This window comes from Homo sapiens, chromosome 12 (genome assembly GCF_000001405.40).
Source record: "Homo sapiens chromosome 12, GRCh38.p14 Primary Assembly".
NCBI lineage: Eukaryota > Metazoa > Chordata > Mammalia > Primates > Hominidae > Homo > Homo sapiens.
In genome coordinates this window covers 125,299,802-125,317,431 of record NC_000012.12, presented here as the reverse complement: position 1 = coordinate 125,317,431, position 17,630 = coordinate 125,299,802, and the positions used below count along the sequence as shown (strand labels likewise).

Below are 17,630 nucleotides of genomic sequence, written 5' to 3'. Positions count from 1 at the left end.
AGAGCAGTGGATCCATGCTCCGGATGCATGGTGATCTTTAACAACAGAGACTGATGGGCAGGGGAGACTCAGCCTTTTACACAGATGCACCTGCAGCAATGTGAAGCTGCAGGTGAATTTAAACAATCGTGCCTAATAGTCACACGGTGCGCACTCCAGGCCAGGTGCTTCCAATCGCTTTGAGTATACCAACCCATGCTAATCCTCTCAACAACCCAGGTACTACAATCAGCTCCATCTGAGGAGGAAACTGAGGCACAGAGAGGGGAAGTCACTTGCCCAAGGTCAACAGGCGGGAGTCTCTGCCAGGCTGATGATGGAGAAGGATCGGGATAACAAGGGGTTCTGTCCCCAAGTTGGGAAGGCGGCACTATCCTTTGATCGGGAGCCCCCCATTCTGCTTCCAGCCCTCTCACCACCCTGCCAGGAACAAGAGGTAGGTGGGTTGTGGTGGGCAGGCAAGGAGAGGAGGCTTGGCCAAAGGCTGTGGCTGAGAAAGAGATGTACTTATTTATCGGGGACCTTAGGCGAGTCACATCAGGCCTCCTGCCCTGCTCCCAAACCTCCCATGGCTCCCATTTGACTCAGAGTAAAAGTCCAAGTTCTCATGGTGGCCTGTAGTACAGTTTGTGGGATGGTCCTTCTCACTGCTCTGTCCCCCTCGCTTACGTCACTGCAGCCCCCCACTTTGTGTCTAGTGGACATCTGGCACCGTTCTGCCACAGGACATTTGCACTTCCTGCCCCCTCTTCCGGAATGAGCTGCCCCAGGTCTTTATATAGTCAGTCCCTTCCCACTACTCAGACCTCAGCTGAAAATCATCTACTCAGTGCTGCCTTCTTTGACCACCTTCTAGAAAATAGCTTCATGGAAGCCAGGTTAAAGGTACATAGGACCTCTCTGTACTCTTTCTGCAGCTTTTCTCTACATTTAAAATTGGTTCAAAATAAAACATTTTAAAAAGGAAAGAAAAGAACCCTTTAGCTTGATGTATTGAGGAAAAGCAAGGTTAGAATGCCTGACATAGAGAAAGAGAAAGAGTGCGAAGAGATGCTGCTTAGAATCAGGGCAGGGGCAGGCCATGCAGCCACTGCTCCCGCCCCCCACCAGGAGCTTGGATTTTATTCTCAAAGGGGTCTCAAGCCAGGCAGCTCTGAAGCACATCAGCAATTGCCCATAGGACTGTCCTGTAGAGGAGGAATTAGATTTATCCTGTGTAATCCCTGGAATCCAGGATGGACTTGATGGGGAGGCAGATATGGATCTGTGTAGAAAGAATGTTCCAACACCTAAAGACAGAAGAGGAGGTAATGAGCCCTCTTCCTTTGAGCTGGGCAACTTGAAGCTAAGGGAGTGCTTGTTGGAGAGAACATTCAGGGAACTCAGTATCCAGGACAAACTCTGCTACTCTAAGACCACCTGTGTCCCCAGAAAAGCCAGCCAGGTGAGGGGGGGATGCTGATCTTCCATTTCTGCAACATCCAGGGGGTGGTGACCCAGGGTCCCCTGCTTGTTGTCCTAAGTACCTCCATTACAACCACCTCCAGAGCATCCTCAGTCTCTGGAGCCACTGCTGGGCAGACGTCAAGGGCTGCAAACTGCTGGTGTGCATTACAACAATTGGCCAAGTAGCAACTGCTATCTTTAGATGGGGAATGGGGTCTCCTGTTCACTCCAAGTCCCATCACCCCTTAACCACCAACAGGCAAGTGACACAGAATCTGAGGCTCCAACCCCAGCTCTACTGCCTTCTAGTTGTGTTACCTTGGCCAAGTGACTCCATTGTTCTGTGCCTCAGTTTCCTCATCTGTAAAACAAGGATCATGGTACCCACGGCATCGGGGCTATCATGAGGATTGCTTGAGTTAAGATACATACAAGCATTCAGAGCAGTGGCTGGAAAATAATAATAGTGTTAACAATTCCTATTATTGACCAGGCGTGGTGGTTCACGCCTTTAATCTCAGCACTTTGGGAGGCCGAGGCAGGCGGATCACTTGAGGTCAGGAGTTCGAGACCAGCTTGGCCAACATGGTGAAACCCCGTCTCTACTAAAAATACAAAAATCAGCCAGACGTGGTGGTGGGCGCCTGTAATCCCAGCTACTTGGGAGGCTGAGGCAGGAGAATCACTTGAGCCTGGGAGACGGAGGTTGCCGTGAGCTGAGATTGCACCACTGCACTCCAGCCTGAGTGACAGAGCGAGACCCTGTCTCAAAACAAAACAAAGAAACAATTTCTACTGTTATGCGCCTTCGCGTAGGCACAGCATCATCAGCTGGATTTGCTGCTGTGCTGACTCCCTAACCCCTAACCTACTTCCTTCTGTGCATAAGCTGCCTGGTTCCTGGCATTGGTTGAGTTTGCAAGCCCAGGAGGGTGCCTTCTTGAGTCTGTCTAGATCACATAGGAAAGAAAAACCCAGAGCAGAGCACTAAATAAACCTGGACAGTTAACCAGCCCCAACTCTGCCTGCAAGTGTAGACAGGACAGTGCCCCCAGACTCCCCTCTCCAGCTCCAAGTCTCCCATTTCTAGCGGCATCTGCAGACCTCCCACATGGCAGCCAGTGCCCACCAGAGGCACTTTGCACAAAGAAGACATTTCTCAGCTAATCTTTATTCTAATTTCTGAAAGAACAGGCCAGGCAACCTAGATAGTCATTAGCACTGAAGAAAGAAACATCTCATCCCAGCTCCTAACCCCTCAGACTTAGCTGAAAAATGACAGCAGCCTCTGGCAACTTCACTCATTTGAGCTGGAAGAAAAGATCTTTGTGCCTCCCTCGCGAGGGTTCGCGACCTCTTGTGCGGTTCCCAGTTTAGAGAATTTGCCCCGTTGAAGCCTTGCTGGCTCAGTCTCTTCCAGGAAGTAGTAGCTGAGCCCCTCTGAGCCCGGGTGCAGGAAGCGCCTCCTCAATGCAGCACAAGAAACCCAGGAAGCCCAGCACCACCTCTGGGGCCCACAGGAACACTTTTCCCCTGTTCCTCGCCTTCAAGGCAGAAGGCAGCGTTACCTTGCAAACCAGGCTTCTGAGCAAGAAGGAAAGAAAGAGCCTCCCATCTGCTGCCTAGAGTTGGTACCGAATCTCGGCAAAACCTCCAATTACTCTGGAGGAGCCATCGCTGCTGATCTTTGTCAAAATCTCCACATTCCAAGAAGGTGAGCCCTCGTTACTGTTTCCAGACGCCCACACAGAAGTCAAGGCCGGTTTGCATAGGACTGGAGGCTGGGACGTGGCAGCCTGCACCTCGAATTGGAGCAAGACTTTCACAGAAACAAAACGTAATCAAGTCCCCTGCACACACTCAGCTAAGCTCTCTGCACACAGGTATACATGAGTTCGCACGCCGCCCAGGCAGGTGCTGGATGACAAGAACAGAGACCAAAAAAGATGCACTGATCCTGGGGATGATGATTTGAGTTCAATCTGTATTTGCTGAAAGCCCATCATGTGCCAGAAGACAGAGACACAAAGAGATGTCCTGACAGAGAGGACGGCTGGCCAGACACTTTGGCGACACACAGGACCGGCTAGGTCATATGCGGGGCCCGGTGCAAAATGAAAAGGCAGGGAGCCTTTGGTCAAAAAGTATTAAGAATTTCAAGAGCATGACACAAAGTTTGGGGTCCTTCTGAGCATAGCATCCCCTGCAACTGCTCCAGTCCCATGTCCGTGAAGCCAGCCTGGGTTGCATGTGGCAGAAAATTAACCCAAACCAATGGAGGGAGGGGGGGAGGGGAGGGAAGGGGAGGGGAGAGGGGTAAGGGGTGAAAGGAAAGGTGGGGGAGGAGAGGGGAGGGGAAAGGAGAGGGGAGAGGGAAAGGGGAGGGGAGGGCAAAAGGGGAGGGGAGGGGAAAGGAGAGGGGAGGGGGAAACGGGAGGGGAGGGGGAAATGGGAGGGGGTGGGAAATGAAGGAAGGGAGAGAGAAAGGGAAGGAGGAAGGGAGGAAGGGAAAAAAGGAAGAGAGAAAGAAGGGAGGAAGGAAGGGAAGAAGAGGAGAGGAGAGAGGATGGAAAGAAGGAATAAAAGAGTTAAAGAGCAAGGAGGCATCAAGAAAGAAAGGAAAGGAAAAGGAAAAGAGAAATATGTGCATCATATAACTAACCATCTAGGAATTGCGTCTATCTGACTGGACACAGATTCAAATCATTCTCAAAACCAAGGTTTACTGACCCTTGCTAGGTGTCAGCCACTGTTCTAAGGGATTTACATGTATTGACTCACTTACTCATCATCACGAGCCCCTGACCTAGGTATTTCTATGTCCCCATTTTTAAGATGAGGAAACTGAGGCACAGAAAGGTTAGGCAGCTTGCCCCAAGATTCCAGATTCAGTACGCAGCCAAGCCAGGATTCAAACCCAGGCACTCGCACTCCCAGCTCACACGAGGGGTGTCCAATAAAAATTATGCACACGGTCCACATCCTGAGCATGTGCAGGCTTCCAGGAAAGCAGGTGCTTTGGTAGACACATCCAGCACCAGTTGTCTGTGGAGGCAGAAGGGTTAAAGGAAGAGCTCTCCATTGGTTTAGGGTATATTCATTAGGGATGGCCCATTCTAGACACCCTCATCCCCATCCTGTGTCCTTTCATAACTCCTCAATAGCACAGAAGACAGCAGGATGGGGAAATGGCCACAGTATACAGAGCCCACTGTGCCAACTCTGAATTCACACCTGAATCCTGACAGATTTCTGCAAGGTGAAACCTGTAGGAACAGCTCTCACGGTGAGTACATTTTAGACATTTCTCAGTGACTGTCCCTGAGTGGAATGCAACCATCCAGATACATTAGCTGTGCCATCCATCAGCCCAGCAGGCTCCAGAAGCAGAGGCCAACTTCCTCAGAGATGGTGGCGCTCAGCCTGGGTCTCTCCAGAGGACGCTGGGACATCTACCCAAGGGTCCTCAGAGGGCCACCCCAGCAACAGATCTTTTCATTCTTAATGTGAATTTCTTGCTAACCTTTAAAAATGGGGAGTTCAAGCCCAGGCATCTTGAAGAAACGGCTGAGCCCATGTCCAGAGCAAGACATGTACCAGATGAATCTGGAGGATCTTGTGCCAAGAAGTAGGAAAATGCTTTTACTGATGGGGATGCATCAAAAGGACATGCGAGGCAGCTGGAAGGAGCGCCTGCTGGGCAACGATGGGATGATTTAGAGCATCCAAACAACTAATGACTCAATGGGTTGAAACCCATCAAATATACTAAAATTCATGGGCTCACAGTGATACTAACAATGGAGCATATGGAGAGTCTATCGGGCTGAATTTCCAGCTTCTCTTGAAAAACTGGAAGATCTGACAGCATTAGACCTATACTCTCATATGATGACAGTTGGCTGGAGCTGGGAGCAGCTGTCCCTTGTAGGCAGAGCACAGGCTTTCCACTTTGCCACAGTCCCCACCACTCCCTATTACTGCACTGGAGAGAGCGTGCTCATTGTTTGTATATGAGCACCTGCTTCACTCCTTTATGCCATGTACTTCCTACTTCAGTCTCAAATATCCTTCTGATCTGGAACATCTCTCATCTAGCAGTTCCTGGAGGTCAGATCTGGCCTAGCTTCTCTAGGCTGCTTCCAAAAGGCCCATGATCAGAAGGAAATATCATGCTACTGAAAAAAGATGGACCACATTCCCCACCCAACCTCCCTGCCCCTGCCACACATCCTCTGGCCTGCCCGCTGTCTGCCCTGTTTGGTTGGGGTTCTGTGCAGAGGCATAGTGGGCTATGATTTGCATTTTCAAAGGCTCATTCTGGCTCCTCGATGAGAATAGACTGGAAAGAGATAAGCATGAGAGAAGCAAGATGCTAGAAGCAGCTTCCGCAGATTCCAGGAATGAGATCATGGGGCTTGGATCAGGGTGGAAGAGAGAAGATGGGCCAGAACCCTGGGAGTTCAAAGCTAGAGGTGGCGACTCACTGATTGATAGGATGTGGGATGTAAAAGGAAGAGAGAAGCTGGGATGACGCCAGAGTTTTCAACCTGAGCAAACTGGAAGGATGGAATTGCCGTCAGCTGCCACGTGTGTTCTGGGAAAGTATGACTTTCATGTCTGTTTAAATTAATTGAAATCCCAATTAACTTTGATTTAAAATCACCATTCCCAAGCAGCAGTTGCCTGCCTCCCCTCATAACCCAGAATCAAAATGGCACCGCTCTTGTAACGGTGACCCGGTTTCTCTATGACTAACAAACAGGGATGCCAAACGGGTTGAGTGCCAGTGAGCCAGGAGCATCCGTAAGAAAGAATCTCCCTTTAAAGGGCCACTGCTGCAGGATTCTTCTGCAAACCCCAGTACACACCCACCTTTTGTCATGCTCAATTATGTCTAAGAAGATGTGAACAGTGTATCAGCCCATCTTCCTAAAATAGCCCAGAAGAGCAAGCAGGAAATATTCCACCCCAAAAGGTCTTTCACTGAAGAGTTGGGAAGCTCCGGGAACAGGTGCATATAATTGAACAGCCTCGGACACCAGTACTCAGTGATGGGCCACTTGATGTGACATCGTATTTGATTTCTATAATTGCTCAGCCTGTGCCTTGAGTCAAGGAGACATCCTAAAACTGTTTCTCACATCGACACACCCGTTAGCAGATGAAAGGGAGGTGCCCTCCCAAAGCCTCTAAATGTACTGTGCCTCTCATTGTTCAGTAAGACCCAGAACTACCGTGGGGGTGTTGTTGGGGGGGAGGTCAAAGTGTTTCTCTGCGTGGCTGGCTACGGTTGCCATGGTAACCAGAGGCCTACCAGAGGAAGCAGCCACTGAGAGACAGCCCCACGGGGGACCCGTGGCTGGGAGCTTTCCGAGTAGAGAAGTCTTACCTCCCTGGGGTAGGGAGTGGTTAGGTAGACTTGAAGAGGGCAGTCTAACTTATAGGCCTGGGTTCAAGCCCAAGTTTCCCTGCTGATTAACTGTGTGAACCCTGGAGCTTACTCAAGAGCTCTGCACCTCAGCTTCCTCAACTGTAAAATGGGAGGGACCATGGGTGTAGTGGGGATCTAAGGAGACAGGCAGTGTGCCTAGCAAACAGGAGCCCTCAACAATCCTGCTATAATTCCCAGCCACCATCCACACCACCACCTCTGTCCGGGTCTCCCACAAGCCATGCCACTGCCCACCAGGAGATCTGGCTGGACACGTGTGCAGGAAGAGCTGCTTTGCACAGCTTGTGGTGGATGGTGTCTTCCAGAGGGTCACACCAGTAGATCCATCTCACATGACATTCCTTCCTACAGGGATGGGCCAATGTCCCTTCCCTTTGAGTCTGGGTGGGCCTGGGACTACAGTGAAAGGGACTCCATGGGCCTTGTGAGGCAGTCATAAAAGGAAATGCAGCTCCTGCCTGGTCCTCTTGGGACGCTCACCCTTGCAACCAGCTGCCATATTGCAAGGAAGCCAGGCAGCCACAGGAAGGGGCTCATGGAGGTGTTCCAGCCACAGCCAAGCTGTGATCCCAGCAGACAGCAGCATCAACCCCCAGACATTCGAGTGAGCCCTGAGATGACTCCTTTGAGCTGCCTAGGATGATGACAACAAGTGGACCAAAGACAGCTGTTCCTGCCACACCCTGTCCCAATTCTAAACTAGTGAGCAAAATAAATGCCATTGTTCTTTTAAGTCACCAGGTCTTGGGGTAGTTTGTTATGCAGCAATTGATCATAAGAACACAACTCCTAGAAATTTTAATTTTGAGCCTCACTCTAACAGCTCACTATAAAATTCCTTGAGGGCTCAGCCAGAGGACAGACTTTGCCAAGGAAGCACATCTCCGTTAGCTCTTCAGTGATGAACCTGGAGGGGAAGCAGAAGTGCTGATTTTTGCCTGTTGTATTGTCCATTTCCCCCGAGAATGGAAATTCCAAGAGGACAAACACCACATCTGAGTTTTCCCTGCCTAGGACAGAGCCTGGCACATAGTAGGTGCTCAGAAAATATCGGTCAAATGAATGAGAACATCAGATACAAAAAGAACCAAATAATTAAGATTCTAAAGTGTGGGAATGAATGTTTTCACCTGATGTGTACTAGTAGTAACCACAATAACCAAACTAATAAAAGCAAGCTGCAAAGATCTAATCTTACTACCCCTAAAAGAACAAACATCTGGCAGGTAGAGGAAGGCAGATAAAGTGATATTTTTCTTTTCAAGGCTGCTTCTGAGTCTATGAAAAGATAAAGAGCATCTTATTCCAAATAGCATATAAAATTGAAGCATTATTAAAATATATAACAAAGAATCTGAATGTCTCCTGACCACAATGTTCAGTTTAGGATTAGTCATAATAGCAGAGAACTAGAATCAGTTTACAAGCCCATCAGGTGGAGAAGAGCTAAATAAATCATGACATGATGGAATATTACACAGCAGGTAAAAAGATTGAGGTAAGTGTAAATGTGCTAACATGGTTAGGTCTACAGAATATATTGTTGGCTGAAAAAAAGCAAGTTGCAGAATACTATATCAATATAACATTTAAATGAAAAATTAAATGCACAAGAATAATATATTGTTCATGGTTCCATATATAAGGAAAAATATAAAAACATTAAATTCATGATCATATTTGCCTCTGGGAGAGGGGATGGAATTGAGGATGGTGCAAAAGAGAACTTCAATGTTTTCTGTAATGTTTGGGTCCTTTTTTTTACAAAATAATAAAAGACCTGCTGCAAAAGTGACAAAATGTGAACAGCTGACATTTCTAGGTGTGGAATACACTGATATTTGTTATGTTACTCTTTGTACTTTTCACTTTTTTTATTCCTCAAAATAAAAATTACAATTAAAAAAAAAGAAAGGTTTTTCACATCCTGCTAGTAGAATTGTAATTGGCAACCACATTTTAAAGCACAATGTGCAATAATTTATTAAAATGGCAAATGCATAACCCCTTGAGCCCAGCAATCTCATGTCTTAATATTCACCCTGGAGAAAGGCTAAGCACTCAGTCAGATAACAGGATATTAGCCAAGCATTGCTCATAATGGAAGACACTTGGAGACAGCTTAGATGTCCACAAGTGGGGAATAGCTAAGGTGTCCAGAGCAGTTCCATATTCCAGAACAATATACAGCAGCAGCAAAGAACAGAGTGGATGACATCTATGAAGTGGTGTGAAACCATCTTCAGGATGCATTGTTGAGGGAAAATAGGCAAGTTGCAAAAATATTATGTAAAGTATATCTTTTTTAAAATACTGTATTTTTCTACAGGTGAATATATATGTATACACATATATATAACTATATATATACTTATACTATATATAGTATATGTATATACTTATGTGTATATATATACTTGTAATATACTTGTATTGTAAGTATATATACTTATAATATACTTGTATTATACATATATACATATATTACAAGTATATATACTTGTATTACTTATATATACTTATATTACTTATATATATTTATATTACTTAATATACTTATATTACTTAATATATATATACTTGTAATATAAGTATATATTAAGTAATATAAGTATATATACTTAATATATATATTTAGTAATATAAGTATATAAGTAATATAAGTATATATAAATATATAAGTATATATTAATATAAGTATATATACTTATAAGTATTATAAGTATATATACTTGTAATATACTTGTATTATAAGTATATATACTTGCAATATAAGTATATATACTTATATTACAAGTATACACATAGACATGATCTGAAATAAAGAAAATAAAGGTGTAATAACTGTGGTTACCTCTGGAGAGAAAGTAGAGAGAGACGTGGGGCTTGGGATGCTGATCACAACAGACTTTAGCCCTATTTGTAATGTTTTCATTTTCACACAGATAAACAGTAATAATAATAATAGCACACCCTATCTCGCTTTTCTGATTTGCACTGTTCTAAGTGCTTTCCATGCATTCATTCATTCATTCAATCCAACAACGGTCCTAAGAGGTTGAGTGCTATTATTATTCCTATTTTACAGGAAGGATCCCAAAGTACAGAGAGGTTAAGAAAATCACTTAAATCAAAAAGAATCACAACCATACAGACTGAAACACATTAGTCGTATTTAAATCCATGGGTTTGTCATGATACTGCACGAAACCTTCCTGAGTGTCTACACCATTCATTCACTTATTCAAAAATGAGCCCTCTCTATGTGCCGGACAGAATCCCTGGTCTTGTGGAGCTGATGGGTTTAGTGGGAAAAAGAAAGACCACCAATGAAATAAATAATAACATGCATAGGATTCTAGACAGCTGCAAATGACATGGAGAAAAATGAAGAAGGATAAGCAACACTGGAGTGGACTCCAAGTGGTTGCAGTGTTAAGTAGGAAGCCAAGAACCTCCTCAGGCCAAGGGCCACCATCATAAAGGTCTAAAGAGGTAGGAGCACAGAAAGGGAAAGGAGGAGGTCCCAAGAAGAGGAAATAGGTGCAAAGTCCCTGTGGCAGGAGCATGCCCAGGGTGTTTCCAAGGCTAGCAGGAGGCCAGTGTGGCCAGACTGGAGCAAGTAAACAGACAGGAAGTCATAGAGGTAATGGGAATGACCAATTATTTAGAGCATTCTGATCAACTTGAAGGACACTGGCTTTTACTTGGAATGAGATGGACATCACTGGGGCATTTTGAGCAGAGGAAGAACATGGTGCAATTGACATGCAGCAAAGCTGCTTTGGTTGTTGTGGGAAGAAAGGATTGAGAAGGGACAAAGGAGGAGGCCACTGCAATGGTCCAGGCAAGCAACAATAATGGCTGGGAGCAGTGAAGGGAAGGAGAAGGAGTTAATTTCTGAATATATTTGGAAGACAGAGCCACAAGATTTGCTGAGGCTTGGAAGGAATTAGAGGGGAAGAATCAGGGATGCTCTAGGTTTTTTAGCCTGAGAAGCTAGAAGGATGGAATTGCCATCAGCAGTAGGGAAGGCTGTGGGAGGAACAGATTCAGGGCAAAGGTGGGAAGTATGGTTTTGGGCCAGGTGAGTATGAGATACCAATGAGACGTCCAGGTAGAGATGTCATGTAGACAGTCAGAGAAAGACGTCTGGAGCCCAGGGGAGAAGTCCTGGCTGGAGATAGATTGAATAAGCTTCATCTGCCATCTGCTAAAACCTGAGGCTCCAAGAGCTAAATGTGGCCGGCAGGTGTGTTGTGTTAAGCCTGCATAATATTTTTTAATTTAGATTTATTTCCCACATTTGTCGTAAGAGTCCAGATTTCCAGTCATGGTTGGAAAATTAGACAATCTGCCAACTTTAGACTCCAGTTCCTGGTTGGAGATGGGCAGTGTCCACCTCCTTGGACCAGGCAGCCAACCAAAGCTTCCAGTTGGCCAGCTAAGCTTATCACCTTACCTGCCTGGCCCCCTGGGGCCTATCGGTAACATTCCTGGCACAAGACTCTAAGAAATGAATCTCCACTTAGACAACAGCTGTAGCACAAAGCTAGTGAAGCCTGGAACTTCTGACTTTTCCTCCTTCTCTACCCAAAAAGCTCATTACAAGGATCTCGCAGACAAAATAACCTAGCATGATCTCTAACTTCACTGGAGTACAGAGTTGTTAAACATACCCAGCAATAGAGAAAGATGGAAACTCAACGTCAGCCAGGTGGGAAGCAACACGAACAGTCCATCTGGCTCTCATTTCCCTAAATCAAGATTTCCTTGTCTTTTAAACTTAGAGATCTCCAACAAAACAATAATAAATCACAGCAAAGTGTTAGGAGGTTTTCTTTGCCATCCCACAAAGCATGTATTTCCATTACCTGTCCCAGATTGGCCAAACGAAGACCAATGTATCTATAAAACGCAATGACATGTTAATACAAACCTTAGAAAAGATAAAATGCTTTTTATCTCCATCTTAGGAAAACCTAATAAAGAATTAACTGTCCGCGATGCCATGGAATTTCACTCAAGGCTTTACTTTATGCCAGGACTTCTTAGATCATTAACTTTTAACAGACAGCCTTCCCCCCCCTACCCTGGGCTTTGGACATGTGGCTGCCATCTCACACTACACTGATAAGCCATTAAAATTGGACTCCCACTTCCCATCAGAACTTTAGTTACGAGCTCCGGCTGATGCCTCCTCATGACAGCAAATCCCAGCATGAATCTCGTATGTCAAGGTTTGCAGCTAAAAGGTCTCAGCAGTATTTACTCACACAGGTCTCTTATTGCTGAATGGGAACCCCTGAATCTAAACTGTCGCCCACGTCTGATCTCCATGATGGCACTCCTGAAGAAGTTGTAGGAGACGGGTTGAAAAGAAGGCAACTGATATTTGTAAGGCTTCAGAAGTGTACCAACATATTCAGAGTAGCTGGGGAGTTCTCCAATCCATGACAAGGAGTGCCCAACCTCCCCAGGGGAGTTAAAAAGTAACAAGTCTAATATCCTGAAACAGCAAAGCAAATGTCTTACTTCCAACAAGACGATGGCTCCAATAGTGATTACCAGAGAGAACAATGACCTCCCAACACTCAGGAAAAAGCTCACCAGTGCTATGCTAAGAATGTGTCAATACCTGCACTACGAATGTGAAGCAGCAGCAAAGAAGAAAAGATTTTTTTTTTTAGAAATGGGGTCTCACTATGTTGCCCAGGCTGGAGTGCAGTGGCTATTCACAGGCGCAGACATGGTGCACTACAGCCTTGAACTCCCTGCCTCAAGAGATTCTCCCTCCTCAGCCCCCCAAGTAGTTGGGACTACAGGCAAGCAGCACCATGCCTTGCTAAAGAAGAAAATTTTTAAACACTAGTTCCTGGTGTTTGGAAAACTGGATATCCACATGCAAAATAATGAAGCTGGACCTTTATACCTTATACCATACACCAAAACTGTCTCAAGATGTATTAGAGACTTAACTAAAAGAGCTAAAACTATAAATTCCTAGAAGAAAACCTAAGGGCAAAATCTTCATGATCTTTCAAGGGTGTTATATTTATGAAGTCATTGCAAAATCCATGAAGGACAAATCTTCATGGATTTTGCAATCATTTCATAAATATAACCAAAAAAATAAAAGCAACCAAAATAAATAAATTGGACTTCTTAAAAATAAAATTTTTGTGCATTAAAGCAGGGGTCCCCAAACCCTGGGCTGTGGACCAGTACCAGTCCGTGACCTGTTTGGCCACAAAGCAGGAGGAAAGCCCGGCCAGTGGGCAAGCGAAGCTTCATCTGTGTTTACCGCCGCTCCCCATCGCTCACGTTACCACCTGAGCTCCGCCTCCTGTCAGATCATCAGTGGCATTAGATTCTCATAGGAGCACAAACCCTATTGTGAACTGCGCATGCGAGGGATCTAGGTTGTGTGCTCCTTATAAGAATCTAACTAATGCCTGATTTGAGGTGGAACAGTTTTATCCCAAAACAATCCCCCATCACTGTCTATGGAAAAATTATCTTCCATGAAACCAGTCCCTGGTGCCAAAAATGTTGGGGACTGCTACATTGGAGGACACTATACCAAGAGAGTGAAAAGACAGCTCACAGAATGGGAGAAAATATCTTCAAATTCCTATGTGATAAGGGTTTACTATCCAGAGAATAGAAACTTCTACAACTTAGCAACAAAAAGACAAACAACCCAATTAAAAAATGAGCAAAAGACTTGAATAGACATTTCTCCACAGAAGATATACAAATGGCAAATAAGCACATAAAAAATTCTCAACGTCATTATTCATTAAGGAAATGCAAATCAAAGCCACAATGAGATACCACTTCACACTCACTAGGATAGCTACAATTTTTTAAAGGGAAAATAATGTCTGGGAAAATACATGGAGAAATTGGAACCCTTACAGATTGCTGGCGAAAATATAAAATGGTGCAGCTGCTGTAGGAAACAGTTTGGCAGTTGATCAAAAAGTTAAGCATAGAATTACCATACGATCCAGCAATTCCACTCACAGCTATAGACCCTAAAGATCTGAAAACAGATATTCAAAGATACTTGGCCATGAATGCTCACAGCAGCATCACTCATAGTATCCAAAAAGTGGAAACAGCCCAAATGTCTATCAACAGATGAAAGAATAAACAAATGTGATCTATCCACACAATGGAATATTATAAAAAGGAATGAAGTTCTGATAGATGCTGTAACACGCATGAGCCTGGAAAACATTATGTTAAATATAGGAAGCCGGACACTAAAGGACAAATATTGTGTGACTCCACTTACATATGAAATATCTAGAATAGGCAAAGTTATAGAGACAAAAAGTAGATTTGAGGTTATCAGAGGCTGGCAGGAGGGGAGAAATGAGGAGTTTTTGCTTAATAGATACAGAATTCCCTTCTGTTTTTTTTTTAATATGCAGAGTCTCGCTCTGTCCCCAGGCTGGAGTGCAGTGGTGCGATCTCAGCTCACTGCAACCTCTGCCTCCTGGGTTCAAGCGATTCTCCTGCCTCAGCCTCCTGAGTAGCTGGGATTACAGGTGCCTGCCATCATGCCTGGCTAATTTTTGTATTTTTAGTAGAGACGGGATTTCACCATGTTGGCCAGGCTGGTCTCGATCTCCTAACCTCAAGTGATCCGCCCACCTCGGCCTTCCAAAGTGCTGGGATTACAGGCATGAGCCACCGCACCCAGCCTGCTTAATGGATATAGTTTCTATTTCAGATGATTAAAAATTTTGGAACTAGACAGAGGTGATTGTTGCATTTCATGGTGAATGCAATTAATGCTACTGAATTACACTTAAAAATGGTTAAAGTGGCAAATTTTATGTATATTACAAAAATAAATTTTAAAGAAGGGGGAAAACACCTTTTGCCCTCTTTGCAAGCACCGAAAATCCAGAGTCCCATCCCAGACTTTAGATTCGGGCAGGCCTGGGTTCAAATCCAGCTCTGCCAGTTATAGATTGTGTGTCTGTACTGGCTATCCCTTTCCACAATAGTGCTGTATAACGAACAACCCCAAAACTCAGTGGCTTAGAGCAGTAAGCATTTGTCTAACACATCCCTCTGCAGGTTGATGATTCCACCTGGGCTCACTGGACAGTTCTTTTAGTCTCAGCCAGGCTCACTTTTTTTTTTTTTTAGACAGGATCTGATTCTTTCACCCAGGCTGGAGTGCAGTGGCATGATCTCAGCTCACTACAGCCTCCACCTCCTGGGATCAGGTGATCCTCCCACCTCAGCCTCCCTAGTAGCTGGGACCACAGGAGAGCACCACCATGCCTAATTTTTTTTTTAATTTATTTTTGAGACAGAGTCTCCCTCTGTCGCCAGCCTGGAGTGCAGCAGCACAATCTCAGCTCACTGCAACCTCCGCCTCCCAGGTTCAAGCAATTCTCTTGCCTCAGCCTCCTGAGTAGCTGGGATTACAGGCACGTGCCACTGCACCTGACTAACTTTTTATTTTTAGTAGAGACAGGGTTTCACCATGTTGGTCAGGCTGGTCTCGAACTCTTTGACCTCATGATCCATCCACCTCGGTCTCCTAAAGTGCTGGGATTACAGGCATGAGCCACCGCACCCAGCCAATTTTTTCTTTTTTTGTTTTGTTTTGTTTTGTTTTGTTTTGAGACGGAGTCTCGCTCTGTCGCCCAGACTGGAGTGCAGTGGCATGATCTCAGCTCACTGCAAGCTCCACCTCCCGGGTTCACGCCATTCTCCTGCCTCAGCCTCCCGAATAGCTGGGACTACCGGTGCCCGCCACCACGCCCGGCTACTTTTTTGTATTTTTTAGTAGAGATAGGGTTTCACCACGTTAGCCAGGATGGTCTCGATCTCCTGACCTCGTGATCCACCTGCCTCAGCCTCCCAAAGTGCTGGAATTACAGGCATGAGCCACCGCGCCCAGCCAGACTCACTTAAATATCCGGGGCTCTACTAGCTCTTGGCTCATCTAGACTGGCCTTGGTGGCACGACTCGGATCTTCTCCACTTGCCTTCCATCCTCCGGTAGCTTGGGTGTGTTCTCCTCATGGCTGCAGACAGCATGAGGCAAAGAGGAAACACAGAGGGTCTTCAGAGCTGGGCACAGGGCTGGTGCACGGGCCATCCCCCTGAATTCTAGTGGCCAAAGCAAGGCACGAGCCCTGCTCAGATTCAAGGGGTAGAGAAATAGACCCCGCCACTTTAGCAAAGTAATTCAGCCCTGAATGCAATCAAGCTCTGCCAGTGTCCTTTGACAACTCAGCACCTCCACATAGATCCCTCTATAAAATGAAAAATACAGATCAGTGCGAGGATTCTGAGATAATCCACAGAAAGCAGGTAGCACTGAGCCTGACATATTATAATCCACTAACAAATGTCAGCTTTTATGAGATATTATCAGCCACTTAGGTCAAATGCTCGAAATTTCAACTAAAGAAATTTTTTAAATAAATACCAACATGTATACCAACATACATACATATATATATATACATATATATCTCCCAGAGTCACGTAGCAATGGAGGCAACCTCATAACATTCTCCTTTTGAATTATTTGTAAGTTATATGCCATGGGAACCCATCCTCAGAAGTCACCGAGAAAGCTGTCATCACAAAAGCACCCCAGTGCAGGCATAGTACAGGTAAGGCTGTTTGCAGGCAGCTGAAGGAACAAGGCTCGCCCAGTGCAGCACCTAAGTGTGTGGACTCTGGAGGCACAGTGGCCGGGGTTCAGATCCCAGCCATGCCCTTTGCCAGCTGTGTGGCCTCGGGCAAGTTACTCCACCTCTCTATGTCTTAGTTGCCTTATCTATAAAATGAGCTAATGACGGCTCCTCCTACCTCATGGAGTTGCTATGAGGATTAAATGAGTCAAGTCACCTGATGTGCTCAGAACAGGTCCTGGTATACAGTAGGCACTCTATAAATTGTAGTTATTATGACAAAGATGTTCCCCTTTGCTCAGACAGGGCCTTAGTGTTATCTAGGGCTGGGCGCAGGGTTGCAGTGACATGATCTCTGGATGTAGGCAGATAGGTAGGTGCCACTTCTCTAGGGCCACACACAGGGGCCAAGGTGCCATCTGATGCCACTTGGGGGCTGGCTCAGCTTCCCTACAGCCTCTGGCTCTGTCAGGGTGTCAGGTGGTCGGGCTGTAACAAGGGATATAAAGAACAAAAGAGACCAGGTGCAGTGGCACATGCCTGTAATCCCAATGCTTCGGGAGGCTGAAGTGGGAGGACTGCTTCAGGCCAGGAGTTGGAGACCACCCTGGGCAGCACAGCGAGACCTTATCTCTACATGTACCAAAAAAAAAAGAACAAAAGGGCAGGCTAAGAGGAAGGGCCGTGGCTGGGGTAGGGAGAGGGGTTCCTTTAGGTGGGGTGATCGTGAAGAAAGGGAGAGAGCAGGCCTGGAGGTATCTGGGGGAAGGTGTTGCAGGCAGCAAGCACAGCGAGTGCAAAGCCCCCGTGGCGGCCCACGCAGGGCGCATGGGAGGAACAGCTGGGAGCCAGACCCTGCAGGGCCTCAGGCCATGAGCAGGACTTGGGGTTCTTGCTCTGAGTGAGGAAGGAAGCCAGCAGGGAGTTGAGAGCAGGGAAATGGCATAATCTGATTGACAACTTACAGAACCCCACAAGCTCTGTGTGGACAGACAGCAGGGCAAGTGGGGGACGCAGGCCGGTCCAGGAGAGTGAACCAGGGTGGGAGGGGT

General features: G+C 45.9%; 1 protein-coding gene across 6 annotated transcripts in view, besides 1 other annotated feature; it reads right to left on the bottom strand.

Moving 5' to 3' along the window:
• The window catches only part of TMEM132B (transmembrane protein 132B), a 475,992-nt gene that overhangs the window by 344,946 nt on the left and 113,416 nt on the right, over window positions 1–17,630 (bottom strand). The gene's annotated exons all lie outside the window — the stretch shown is intronic.
• Window positions 2,922–3,423: an enhancer, noted in NCBI's record as "H3K4me1 hESC enhancer chr12:125798555-125799056 (GRCh37/hg19 assembly coordinates)". NCBI's record gives its function as "activates a minimal SCP1, AML or CMV promoter by ChIP-STARR-seq in naive H9 embryonic stem cells {active_cell/tissue: H9 hESC(naive)}" and the evidence as "EXISTENCE:reporter gene assay evidence [ECO:0000049][PMID:30033119]".